The following is a 14,597-nucleotide window of genomic DNA, read 5'->3' as shown; positions in this document are numbered from 1 at the left end:
ACAAAAAATTAGCTAGGCGTGGTGGCGGGCACCTGTAATCCCAGCTACTTGGGAGACTGAGGCAGGAGAATTGCTTGAACCCGGGAGGCAAGTGTTGCAGTGAGCGGAGATCATGCCACTGCACTCCAGCCTGGGTGACAGAGGGAGACTCCATCTCAAAAAATAAAACAAAATAAAAAAATAAAAACATGAACACTGCTAAAGGAAGTGGGCCAGATTTTAGAAATGTTTGTAAGGGGAGTTGGTAAGACTTGAGGCCCAAATAGATGTGGAAGTGGTGTGTGTGTGAGAAAGCAGAAATAAGGATGAATTAGAGGTCTCCCATTTGGGAGGTTGGGTAGATGGATGGCGAGAAAGAGGAACAGACTTGGAGCGAGACATAGAATGAATTCGGGTTTAAATCTGTTAGTTAGAGGTGCTGGTCAGACACTGGAATTGAGACATACAATAGAAAATTGGAAATAGGAATTTTGAGCCCAGGAGAGATTGAAGCAGGAGAAAGGGATATTGGAGTTTTCTACACGAAGGAGACACTTCAAGCTACAGAAATAACGATCAGTGATAAGTAAAATGGATTAAGAATAAAGCTCTGTGGAGGAGGAAGGAGGCGGTAGAGGGAGGAGGAGGAGGAAGAGGAAGAGGGGGCGTTGGGACAGGAGGAAGAAAGTTCCACACGTGGTCTCTCCATAATTCTCTCCAGAGTCCTTGAGGCCATGCTCTCAGAATAGAGGCCACTCAGTAAGGAGGGTCTTCACAGGTGCCAGGCCCTCTGCAAACACCTATGAGGTAGGGACCACCAGGATGTAGGAGCCACAGTCTCCACATTCTGGATGGGGACACAAAGGCTTAGAAGTCACCCCAGCCTAGTCCACATTTTAATTGCCAATTATACTTCAAACCAGTTCTTCCTTAAGCCTGAATTCTATTTTCTCTTGAAAATCCCCAGAGCAATGGTTCTCAGCATCTTTGAAGTTGGATCCCTCTGAGAATTTTGTTGAAAGCTAAAGCCCTTTTTCCCAGACAAATGTACCTATACACAAAATTTTGAATAAAACTTCAGTTAATTCAGGGACAGGAAAAGCAAATTCAGGCCAGGCGTGGTGGCTCACGCCTGTAATCTAAAGATTGGGAGGAGGAAGATACATGAGATAGACGAGAAGACTCAAAGATAAGCAGGTGAGAATTCCTGGATAGATGAATGTCCAGGACATCAAAGGACAGAAAGTGCCAACTAGGTTGATCAGCTTCTGCTGAAAGGCCAAGTAGAAGGACGGGCACAGTGGCTCATGCCTGTAATCCCAGCACTTTGAGAGGCCAAGGCGGGTGGATCAGGAGTTCCAGACCAGCCTGGCCAACATGGTGAAACTCCGTCTCTACTAAAAATACAAAAATTAGCCAGGCATGGTGGCACGTGCCTGTAATCCCAGTTACTCTGGAGGCTGAGGCAGGAGAATCGCTTGAACCTGGGAGGTGGAGGTTCCAGTGAGCCGAGATCATGCCACTACACTCTAGCCTGAGTGACAGAGCAAGACTCTGTCTCAAAACAAAAAACAAAACAAAACAAACAAACAAACAAACAAACACACAAAAACAAACAGAAACGCCAAGTAGAGAGACTGCTGGATTTGGTAGTTAAGAGGCTGTGTTAGTCAGGGTTTCTGGAGAGACAGAAATAGTAGGATGTGTGTATATTACCTGATTGGATTTACCTGCTTTGTTGCATGCCTGCTATTTTTTGTTTGAATGCCATTCTTGGTGAATTTTAAATTATGAGTGCTGTATCTTTTCAAAAAAATTATTTAAACAGTTTTAGGCTTTTGAGGGGACATAATTAAGTGACTTGGAAACAGTTTGATACATTCAAGTCTTGATTCTAAGATTGAATAGAGTGGTCACGGAATTCTCTTTCGTCTAGGGCTCATTTGGCCCCATTAATGATATAATACTCTCCTGATAATTTTACCTGAAATTCTGGATGTTAGGAGAGTCTGCTCTAACATACAGAGAGCCTGTTTACAGAAAATCTGCTCTAACATACAGGGAATCTGTATATCAGACTCCCCTAACACACAGAACTTCAGGTAAAATTGGGTAATAGGAACAAACCATTTGGACAATAGGAACAAGCTATTTCCAGTTCTGTGTGAACTCAGAAGATTGTTCTGCCTACTCCTCTTTAGGAGCCTTCTCCTAGTTTTGGTTAGTCTCCTTGCAAGCATTTGCTGATAAGTAATCAAACCCTCTGCCAATCTCTCCCCTTCCCCGCTTCCCAACCCCACTGTAGCTCCCTACCCTGTGGTATTTTGCCTCATAAATTCTTTTTTTTTTTTTTTTTTGAGATAAAGTTTTGTTCTTGTTGCCCAGGCTGGAGTGCAATGACGCAGCCTCCGCTCACGGCAACCTCCACCTCTCGGGTTCAAGTGATTCTCCTGCCTTAGTCTCCCAAGTAGGTGGGATTATTGTGCCTGCCTCTATGCCCAGCTACTTTTCTTTTTTTTTTTTTTTTTTGTATTTTTAGTAGAGACGGGGTTTCACCATGTTGGCCAGGCTGGTCTCAAACTCCTGACATCAGGTGATCCACCCGCCTTGGCTTCCGAAAGTGCTGGGATTACAGATGTGAGCCACTGCGCCCAGCCTGCCTCATACATTCTAGATAACTTGGTCTCTGTCTCCATTTTCTAGAGCTGTCATAATGAAGAGCCACCATATGGACGGCTTAAGCAATATAAATTTATTGTCTCACAGGTCTGGAGGCCAGAAGTCTACGGTCTATGTGTTGATAGGGTAGGTTTCTTTTTCTATTTGTTTTTATTTTTTATTTTTTTTATTTTTTTAGACAGAGTCTTGTTCTGTCACCCAGGCTGGAATGCAGTGGCTTGATCTCGGCTAACAGCAACCTCCACTTCCCGGGTTCAAGTGATTTTCCTGCCTCAGCCTACCGAGTAGCTGGGATTATAGGCACATGCCACCACACTTGGCTGATTTTTGTATTTTTAGTAGAGATGGGGTTTCACCATGTTGGCCAGGCTGGTCTCGAACTCCTGACCTAAGGTGATACATGCCTTGGCCTCCCAAAGTGCTGGGATTACAAGCGTGAGCCACCTTGTCCGGCCTTTCCCTCCTTTTAGAAATCACTGTAAACATAAATATTCAATGCCTATTCTCCAATATCTGTAACTCATAATGTCATACATGTCATTTAGCATTTAGTTGTTTAATGTGGGAGGGTAAATCCCATCCTCATTATGTTATCACGATTAGAAATGGAAGCCTTATTCCGCACATTGAATGGAAAATTTTGTGTCTGTGAACACATCTGGAGAATTATGAGAAATCATGAAGCATGACTTCTATAAAAGTATATTCATTTGTTCTGGCTGCCATAACAAGGTACCACAAACGGAGTGATTTAAACAATGGAAATTAATTTTCTTACAATTCTGGAGGCTCATGGTCTGAGATCAAGATGTCAGCAGGGTTGGCTTTTTTTGAGACGCCTCTCCTCGGCTTGTTGATGGCCATCTTCTCCCTGTGTTCTCACTTGGTCATCCCTTTGTGTGTGTCTGCACTCTAATCTCCTATTTTTAAATTTTTATTTATTTATTATTATTTTTTAAGATGGAGTTTCCCTGTTGTTGCCCAGGCTGGAGTGCAATGGCACAATCTCAGCTCATCGCAACTTACGCCTCCCGGGTTCCAGCGATTCTCCTGCCTCAGACTCCAGAGTAGCTGGGATTACAGGCGTGAGCCACCACGTCTGGCTAATTTTTGTATTTTTAGTAGAGAGGGGGTTTCTCCATGTTGGTCAGGCAGGTCTTGAACTCCCAACCTCAGGTGATCCACCCTCCTCGGCCTAATCTATTTTTAGATGTACATAACTTGTATTGGATTAGGGCCCACATATCTGAACTTATTTTAACATAATGACCTCTTGAAGAGCCCTGTCTCCAAGTACACTCACCTTCTGTGATACTGGGGATTAGAACATCAGCACATGAAATTTTTTTTTTTTTTGAGATGAAGTCTCACTCTTTTCACCCAGGCTGGAGTGCAATGGCACAATCTCAGCTCACTGCAACCTCTGCCTCCCAGGCTCAAGCGATTCTCCTGCCTCAGCCTCCCAAGTAGCTGGGATTACAGGCGTGCACCACCACACCTGCCTAATTTTTGTAATTTTAGTAGAGATAAGATTTCACCATGTTGGCCAGGCTGGTCTCAAACTCTTGACCTCAGGTGATCCACCCACCTCGGCCTCCCAAAATGCTGGGGATTACAGGCATGAGCCACCGCACCTAGCCAATAGATGTTTCCACTATAGACATTTGGAGCTCAATTCCACCGAGGATCTCCAGGGGGCAGTGTAGAGCACATGTCTTAGATTGGTAGATTCTACCAATTTTTGTTTATTATACATTTGGGGGCTGTTCCCACGACATGTATTCCTTGGGTTTCTACCCTGCTCTATGCATGATGTAAACAGACTTCAATGGCTAGCAGAAGTCTTCAGAAAATGTGTAGCCCCCAGGCAAAATGTTACAGATGCTCAAATTGAAATTCCAGGCCACATCCAGGAAATGCTAAGTGCTGAGCATATAATCAGGTACAGACCACATCTGCTGCACACCCCTAACTCTTCTGTTCCCTCCAGGTGCTGTGCTCCATCATTGCAGGGCTGCTGCACTTCCTCTACCTGGCTTGCTTCACCTGGATGCTCCTGGAAGGGCTGCACCTCTTCCTCACCGTCAGGAACCTCAAGGTGGCCAACTACACCAGCACGGGCAGATTCAAGAAGAGGTTCATGTACCCTGTAGGCTACGGGATCCCAGCTGTGATTATTGCTGTGTCAGCAATAGTTGGACCCCAGAATTATGGAACATTTACTCAGTAAGCATAATGTGTGTCTTTATGATGGTAGTAGCAATGGCTACTGTAAAGAATAACACCAATATTACAACTATCAAAGCCCTATGGTGCATCAAAAATCGTGCTTCCTCTATGCAGTAGCTCATGCCATTCTCACCATGACCCTATGACGTCAGCAGTTTATTTTCTTACGCACAGGACACCTGGGCCTGAGTGCATTTCATAAACTTCCCCAAAGTCAGAGCTGCAAGGCAAGTAAGTCAGAATTTTCAAGGAAATAGTCTGAATAGCCATGTTTTATTGCTTCAGTAATGAAGCTTGCAAAACTCAACACACAACAGTTAGTTGAAGAAGTCAATATTTTGTTAATGGTGCTTGGGTTAGGAAGTAGGTTGTGCACACACTAAAACATCATGTATGTTAGTTACTGTTGTCCCTTTTTTTTTTTTTTTTTTGCGACAGAGTCTTGCTCACCTGCCCAGGCTAGAGTGCGGTGGTGTGATCTCAGCTCACTGCAACCGTCTCCCGGTTTCAAACAATTCTCCCGTCTTGGCCTCCTGAGTAGCTGGGATTACAGGCACCCGCTATCATGCCCTGCTAATTTTTGTATTTTTTAGTGGAGACGGGATTTCACCAGGTTGGCCAGGCTGGTCTTGAACTCCAGACCTCAGGTGATCTGCCTGCCTCGGCCTCCCAATGTTGTCCCTCTTAAAGTCAAAGAGGTGCTTTGTCCTCTTAAAGTCAAAGAGGTGCTTTGTTTCCAGCTTGAACTCTATGTCCTACCAGAATGCTGGAGATAGAACGGTAGAGGAGTTGACCAACATTTTCTTTTCTTTTTTTTTTTTTTTTTTTTTTTTTTTTTTTTTTTTTTTTTACAATTTTAGGTACTCCCTTCTGATTTTTTTCTATTATGGAAGATGGAAATTTGGTGGTTTTTTTTTTTTAATTATACTTTAAGTTCTAGGGTACATTTGCACAACATGCAGGTTTGTTACATATGTATATATGTGCCATGTTGGTGTGCTGCACCCGTTAACTCGTCATTTACATTAGGTATATCTCCTAATGCTATCCCTCCCCCCTACCCCCACCCCACGACAGGCCCCGGTGTGTGATGTTCCCCACCCTGTGTCCAAGTGTTCTCATTGTTCAGTTCCCACGTATGAGTGAGAACATGCGGTCTTTGGTTTTCTGTCCTTGCCATAGTTTGCTCAGAATGATGATTTCCACCTTCATCCATGTCCCTACAAAGGACATTGACTCATCCTTTTTTATGGCTGCATAGTATTCCATGGTGTATATGTGCCACCTTTTCTTAATCCAGTCTATCACTGATGGACATTTGGGTTGCTATTGTGGAAGACAGTGTGGCGATTCCTCAAGGATCTAGAACTAGAAATACCATTTGACCCAGCCATCCCATTACTGGGTATATACCCAAAGGATTATAAATCGTGCTGCTATAAAGACACATGCACACGTATGTTTATTGTGACACTATTCACAATAGCAAAGATTTGGAACCAACATTTTCCATAAAAGGCCAGACAGTAAATATGTTTGGCTTTGCTGGCCACAAGGTCTCTGAGGTGACTACTCAATGTTGCCCATGTAGTGTGAAAGCAGCATTGACAATATGTAACCGAATGAGTTGATTGTCTTTCAGTAAAACTTATGAAAGCAAGTGGCGGGCTGGATCAGACCCGTGGGCCATAGTTGGCAGCCCTTCGGATAGAACTTAAGTTTGGAAGCTTTTCTGCCTACTGAATGTTAGAGATTCAGGCTCTCAGCTTCCCTTTAAAAATAAGGTATGCTACCTTTGCCATCATAAGCCAAGAAAGAATACAAATTATCTGGACAACAGAGTACCTGGTGCATGCAATATGCTTAATTAGAGTTAGTTTTTATAGCTGTAGTTATCGTTTTTACTATCTTTCTCATTATAGCAATCATTATCAACTTGCTAACTACATTTATTACCGTTAACTCATTGCTAGGAACTGTACTCAAAAACTTTAAGCACATTATCTTATTTAATCTTTCCTACAAGTTCTATATGAAGGCAGTGACAAAATTCTGATGAAAAAAATCAAAGGATATCCAAATAGATATTCTATGTTCATGGATAAGAAGACTCAACGTTGTCAAGATGGCACTTCTTCCCAACTTGATCTATAGATCCAACACACTCCAAATCAAATTCCCAGAAAATTATTTTGTGGATATTGGACAAACGGATTCTGAAGTTTAGATAAAGGAGGCAAAAGACCTAGAATGACCAACTCTATTTAGAAGGAGAACAATGAAGCCAGAGAACTGACATTCCCTGACTTCAAGCCTCAGTAGACAGCTACGGTCATCATTTAATCTTTCCAGTACTTTGATTAGCTCTATTATACACTTGAAAAAACTCAGCCTCAGAGCATGCACCTGCATCAAATGAGAACTCACATCTGACTCCATCTAAAATTCAGGATTCTGACCGAAGTAACTCCTGGCCCTGTTCACATCTTGCCCCAGGAGCCTGTATTCAAGTTCTCTGCCTTCTCCCAAGGAAGAGGCAGCTAATGCTTCTCTCTGTCTCAACAGCTGTTGGCTCAAGCTTGATAAAGGATTCATCTGGAGCTTCATGGGGCCAGTAGCAGTCATTATCTTGGTAGGCGATAATTATTTATGGGTGTGCCCGCCTTAGGTTGACCAAGCATACAAAATGTTTTTCTTATCTAAGGGGAAATGAGATGAAGATAAGAAATAACAGCTTAATGTGATCAGCCCCTCTTCCTGAAAGTACTGTCTCCACTTTTCTTTCCTTGGATTCCTCCTGGCTCACTTGTTGCTTTGATGTAATAATATCACCTCTCCTGGGACTTCTTTTCAAAATGCTGTTATTCATTCCATTCAACAAATATTTAATGGTTGGCTTCTCTACACAGGGTGACATGGTTTCCTGTTTGCCGGAAACTTTCTGATGACACCTGTTCCCTGGTAGAGACATTAATAGCACCTTTCCACTTTCAAAGTCTCCTGGTTTGAATGATAAATTCGATAGTTACCTAATCAAGCACCAAATGCTACAGGGTATATGCTGCGTGTTGTACGTAATAGACCAGAACATATGTGCATACCATCTTTATAAAACCTGTGTCTTTTGGGAAAAGATTCTTAGGCCCTCCTCAAATTAGATTGTATAAAATGGCTCCAAAAGAAAATTCCAAGTCACTTTTTTCATGCGGTTCCCACAGATAAACCTGGTGTTCTACTTCCAAGTTCTGTGGATTTTGAGAAGCAAACTTTCCTCCCTCAATAAAGAAGTTTCCACCATTCAGGACACCAGGTAAGAAGGCATCAGAATCAGTGGTACCCAAACATTATTCCTACGTGGCTGCTCTTTTGGGAAAGAAAGAACCCAAGCAGAAATATGATATAAATTATTCTGGTACGCGATAAAGAGCATGTGAAGGACAATTTATAGAAGAAATAGAAACTCTGATTTTCAGGTAACTTCATTTCCTTATTCAATAAATATTCCTGCTGGGTGTAGTGACTCACACTTGTAATCCCAGCACTTGAGGAGGCTGAGGTGACAGGACTGTTTGAGTCCAGCTGCTCAAGACCAGCCTGGCAACATACTGAGACCCCTGTCTCTACAACAAATTTACAAAATTGGCTGGGCATAGTGGCGTGCGCCTGCAGTCCCAGCTATCTGGGAGGCTGCAAAGGGAGAATCACCTGAGCTGGGGAGGTTGAGGCTGCAGTGAGCTACGGATCATGTCACTGTACTCCATCCTGGGCAACAGAGCGAGACTCGGTCTCAAAAAAAAAAAAGAAAAGAAAAATAAACATTTATCAAGTGCCTCCTTTGTATAACACACTCTTATTATGAAATTAATTCCAAGAGTATCAACATCCTCCTCTCACTCCACCAAGAGCCCATATGCCCCTGGACTCCGTTTTCTTTCCTTTTCTTTTTCTTTTCTTTTCTTTTTTTTTTTGAGACTGAGTCTCACTCTTTTGCCTAGGCTGGAGTCCAGCGGCACCATCTCGTCTCACTGCAACCTCCCACTCCCGAGTTCAAGCAATTCTCCTGGGTTCAAGCAATTCTCCTGTCTCAGCTTTCTGAGTAGCTGGGACTACAGGCACACGCCACCATGCCTGGCTAATTTTTGTATTTTTAGTAGAGACAGGCTTTTGCCATATTGGTCAGGCTGGTCTCGAACTCCTGACCTCAGATGATCCACCCGCCTCAGCCTCCCAAAGTGCTGGGATTACAGGCATGAACCACACCGCACCCTACCTGGACTCCATGTTCTTTGGTTGTAGAAACTCAATTCTCATGGGTACCAATCTATGCTATTAAAAATAATGATGACAAAAGCTAATATTCAATAGAATCTTGATAGATGCTGGATCCTTACCCCAAGAGTGGGTAAGGATCTTGCATTGGTGAGTCACGTGCATGAAAATTAAAGGACTGTCTAATTTCAGACCCTGTCTCAAGACTCCTCTACTTATCAGACCAGTCTGACATTTCTTAAATTTGGTTTCCTCAATTCTTGAGGGTCAAAGTGCCACCCTTCTTGGTGTTTCCCCATCCCCCCATTTCTCAATTCCTTACCCTGTAAGGGCTCACTTCTTCCTTAGAACTGCAAACAGCAAGCTCCATGTCTGACCTCATCCCAGCAGCCATGCCCTGCTGCCAACCTCTTCCTCTTGCTGGTGAATAGACAGTTACCCTGTTGTGCTACACTAGGTTAATGTCACACTTTGGGGTAGAGATTAACTATCTCGTCTATTTCCTAAGTAATAAATCCGAGGTTAACATTGACATGGTGGAAACATCATGCTCTTTCAATAGGAAGGACTTGGATTCTAGAAATTTCAGACATCATGGCAGGAAGGGGAGGCTGGGAAAGAGTTGTTGAGAGACTTGTTCCAGATCTGTTAGAAGCCCCCATCCACTTGAGTCCCTTTGTCTCCTAAGCTCCAGAATTAACCATTGTGATATGGAATCGCATATCTGGCTGGGCGCGGTGGTTCATGCCTGTAATCCCAGCACTTTGGGAGGCCGAGGTGGGTGGATCACAAGGTCAAGAGATCGAGACCATCCTGGCCAACATGGTGAAACCCCGTCTCTACTAAAAATACAAAAATTAGCCAGACATGGTGGTGGCACACGCCTGTAGTCCTAGCTACTTGGGAGGCTGAGGCAGGAGAATCGCTTGAACCCAGGAGGCAGAGGTTGCAGTGAGCCGAGATCGTGCCACTGCTCTCCAGCCTGGGCAACAGAGCAAGACTCCATCTCAAAAAAAAAATCGCATATTTATGGCTCCCTTTCCTGCACCTTGGCTCTGTCCTCTTCTCCCTGCAGACTGACTTCCCACAGCTGATGAACAGGGCAGAGCCACCTCAAAGGCGTCTCACAGGTCCATTCTCCAAGCCTCTTACTTCAAATGCTTAAGAGACAAAATCTGGTTGGCTGGGGGGAAAATGGATTGATTGACTCCTTATAGGTCAGGTGTCTACTGTGGGGCAACTGGCTATGGTCAGTGGGGATGAAGCCATATGGCACCATTTAGGCCAAAGAGAAAGTTGTCATGGGAGAATCCTCATATACCAGTGATTATGCTGTCTCCTAAATGTGGACATAGGTAGGTTTTCTGTCTTTTCTATAAGTATATATCTTTCTGTAAGTGCAAATGGAAGGAGGGCTGGATGTAAGAAAAATCACCAAGCTAGATAGCAGTTGTGGAAAACCTAGGAACCAAATCAGGAACAGGAAGGACTAATTAGCAAGTTTATCACAAACCATAATATTTATTGAGTATCTACTATGTGCTAGGCATTGTTCTAAGGACTGGAGATAAAGCAGTGAGTAAAACAGACCAAAATCCCTGCCCTCATAGAGTTTATATTCCCAGGGGGTAACACAAAAAGTAAAAAGTGAAGTCACACACACACACACCTATACACACACACACTCATCAGCTCTCCCAGCCAGCTGCCATCAACAATCCCACTCCATTATATGAAACACAATATACTTTGTGTGAAGAAACCCAACATTATGTTATGTTCTAAAGTCAGGAATTCACCATTATTCAAATGTTTTAATACAAATTTCTAGAAGGCATTTTCCCATAAATCTTCCAAAAAATCTAGGCAGAAGACATGCAGAGAAATCAAATTATTTTCAACGGTGGGGAGAAAGCACTATTCTCAGTGATTTGCCATGACTGAAGTCATGGGTTCCACTTCATCCTCAAGCTGTGTGACCTTGTTGTATACGTCACTTAACTGCATGAAGCTGTTGTGAGATTTAAATAAGGGAATGCACACAGAGCATTTAGTTAGCACTTGTAGTGGATACCTGGTAAACCGTAGTTATTATTACTTTTATTCCCTGCAGAGTCATGACATTTAAAGCCATTTCTCAGCTATTTATCCTGGGCTGTTCTTGGGGCCTTGGTTTTTTTATGGTTGAAGAAGTAGGGAAGACGATTGGATCAATCATTGCATACTCATTCACCATCATCAACACCCTTCAGGGAGTGTTGCTCTTTGTGGTACACTGTCTCCTTAATCGCCAGGTAAGGCTAATTATTTTGTCTGTCATCAGCCTAGTCCCAAAGTCTAATTGAATGGTTGTTCACGTTCTCACTCTTCCCTGACCTTTTATAATTGTATTTTGGGTTTGTCTTGATTTGGGGATGAGGGTTTAGGTGCTGCTGGGGTATGCTGTATGCTGTGGGTTTCATCTGTTTAGCATCCTAACATATCCTGAAGAGCATGGGTCAGTCAGGATAAAGTGGATTATGCTGCAATAACAAATAGCCCCTTGCCTCCCACACTTAATCTTAGCAACTTAAAACAATAAATATTTATTTCTTGCTTGTGCTACATAACTGTGACTTAACCCACATCGTCTTTCCTCTGGAGTGCAGGCTGAAGGTGTGGCCCCCTTTTTAGAACATTGATGGTTTCATGGCACAGGAAAAGGAGATTGTGGGAAAGCACAGCTTAGCTCTCTTAAAGCTTCTACCTAGTAGTGGTGCACTTCTGTTCTGCTCTCATTTAATTAGTCAAAGCAAGTCACATGGCCATACCTCAGTTCACCAAGAAGGGGATGAATAATCCTTCTGTAGTGAGGGGCACTACAAGAAGTGATGCTGAAATATGTGGCACAATCTACCACAAACTCAAAGAGACTTCAAGTCTAATCCCAGTTCTTCCACTGAGTAGGTGGCTGTGTGACTCTGGGTAAACCGCCTATCCTTTCTGAGCATCATCTGTAGTTTTCTCATCTGCAGATGTGGTGATGCCTTCATTACAGGGTTGAAGACTTAAATGAATCAGTGCAAACTCCTAACATAGTCCTTAGCACACATTAAGATCTCAGTTAGTGTTGTTATTAAGATCTCAGTGAGTGTTATTTCAATTTTACTCTCCATAGAAAATTAGGACAAATTTTCCTGGCATTTTCCCTTTGCTGTTGAATAAAACTACCAGCAGTTAAGACGCTAGTGGCAAAAGGCTATCTTAACACGTCATTAATTTCTCTTCAATCTTTTAGTGCCTTCATGCTTGGTACTTCTCACTCACAGAAGAAGTAAAATATAATTTAATTGTCCTTGTGAAATGATGTCGAGCATTAAATCTTTAAATGTCATTTTTAGCATGTTAAGGAGGTTAGAGGAAGGCAATTCTTGGAATCACAGAGGATGGGTGATTGTAATGGTTAGCGTCAGGGCTCTGAGTAAGATGACAAGGTTTCGAGTCCTGGCTGTGTGACCTTGGGCATATCAATTTAACTGCAAGAGTCTCAACTTCGGATCTTTAATTGTGGGTAGGAGAAATGTCTTTCTTACTCCATTTATGTAAGAATTAAATGATATATTGCATATACAGTGTCTTGAATATAGCTAGTGTTCAATAAATGGTGACCTTCACCATCATATAATCACCAACACCCCCACCATTATCATCTAACCATCATCACCATAGTCACTTTTGTCATTATCACCATTATCATCTTTATAATAATCACCTTCACCATCACCACCTTCATTACCTTTATCACACCTTCATCATCTTTACTATCATCACCATCACCATCATCACCATTACCATAACCTTCATTATCACCTTTATCATCATCACTGTCATCACCATCACCTTTATAATCATCACCTTCACCATCATCACCTTCATCATCTTCATCATCACCATCACCATCATCACCATCACCATCATCACTATCACCATCATCACCATTACCATCACCTTCATCATCACCTTCACATTACTTTCATCATCACTATCACCACCATCACCATGACCTTCATCATCACCTTCACTACCATCACCTTCATCAACATCACCATCATCACCCTCATCATGATCATTTTAATCATCACCGCTACTTTTACCATCGTCCGTTCCATTATCATCAACTTCATCATCATCACCTTCACCATCATCATCACTATCATCACCTTCATTGTCATCATCTTCATCATCACCCTCACCATCATCACCATTACCATCACCTTCACCATCATCAATTTCATTACCTTTATCATCATCTTCATCATTATCACCTTCATCACCATCATCACCATTACCATCACCTTCATCATCACCATCATCATCTTAATTACTTTCATTACCACCACCACTATCATCAACAGTCACCTTCATCACCATCATCATCATCATCTATTGAGTCCTATAGTGTCTGATATTTAATACACATCTTTTTTACAACTGAGAAGTTTGAGTTTAAATAAAATGAATCAACATGGGCATGGCCAAGATTATATGGAAAACTAGAGAGTAGGGCTTGGTGTCTTTATCTTTAGCCTCCCATTTTAGGATCCTTTCTCCCAAACCAAGCTCTGGATGTAACACGGACCTCTCCACTCAAATTTCCAGGTTCGAATGGAATATAAAAAGTGGTTTAGTGGGATGCGGAAAGGGGTAGAAACTGAAAGCACTGAGATGTCTCGCTCTACTACCCAAACCAAAACGGTAAGATCAGCTCCTTCTGAGTGCTTTATTGGAATCCGACATCTCATGCCTCTAGAAGCTTTCTGGTTCCTTGATCTGAAAGAAAAGAGAAATTGCATTAGGTTCCTGTATTATGCAGCTGAAGTTTCTGGGTTTTGAGACCAAAACCAGAACCCACCCACCCTTCCTTTCTTCCTTCCTTCCTTCCATCCTTCCTCCCTCCTTTCTTCCCTCCCTCCCTCCTTCCTTCCCTCCTTTCCTCCTTCCTTCCTTCCTTTTCTCCCTTTTTTCTTGCTCTCTCTCAGTCTCTTCCTCTCCCTCATTCCTGGTTTCCCTCTCCTTCCTTACGTTTTATTTCTTTCTCACTCTCTTTTACACCATCTATCTTTTTCTCTCCCTTCCTCCTCTCTCGTTTCTAACTCTCTGTTTCATTCTTTCTATCACTCCCTCCTTCTCTTCCTCTCTCTTTTCATTTCTTCCTTCAACAAACATCCAAGGGATATTTAACAAAAAAAGTTTAATTTATTAACAACACTCATTTAACACCTATTTATTGTCCGCTATGTGCCAGGCACTGTTTAGGTGCTGGAGAACCATCAGTGGACCCACTGACAGTAGTCCTTGACCTCACAGAGCTAACATTCTAGTTGGGTGAGGGAACTGACAACAGACCCCAAAAAGTGAATTTTATGGTATTAGAAAGTGATAAATGCTTTAGAAAAAATAGA

At 42.5% G+C, this 14,597-nt stretch overlaps 1 pseudogene across 2 annotated transcripts in view; it reads left to right on the top strand.

Annotated features, from left to right (window-relative positions):
- Positions 1 to 14,597, top strand: part of ADGRE4P (adhesion G protein-coupled receptor E4, pseudogene) — a 47,094-nt pseudogene that overhangs the window by 29,358 nt on the left and 3,139 nt on the right. Inside the window, exons 12-16 of one of the 2 annotated variants that reach the window (NR_024075.2) lie at positions 4,649 to 4,884; positions 7,453 to 7,519; positions 8,106 to 8,197; positions 11,270 to 11,450; positions 13,795 to 13,890. The product of NR_024075.2 is annotated as an adhesion G protein-coupled receptor E4, pseudogene, transcript variant 1 (transcript). The remainder of the gene's footprint in view (positions 1 to 4,648; positions 4,885 to 7,452; positions 7,520 to 8,105; positions 8,198 to 11,269; positions 11,451 to 13,794; positions 13,891 to 14,597) is intronic. The other variant, NR_174976.1, reaches the window with a different exon arrangement.

Source organism: Homo sapiens, chromosome 19 (assembly GCF_000001405.40).
Source record: "Homo sapiens chromosome 19, GRCh38.p14 Primary Assembly".
Lineage (NCBI taxonomy): Eukaryota > Metazoa > Chordata > Mammalia > Primates > Hominidae > Homo > Homo sapiens.
Note: the sequence above shows the minus strand (reverse complement) of the source record. Positions and strands in the feature narration are given on the sequence as shown.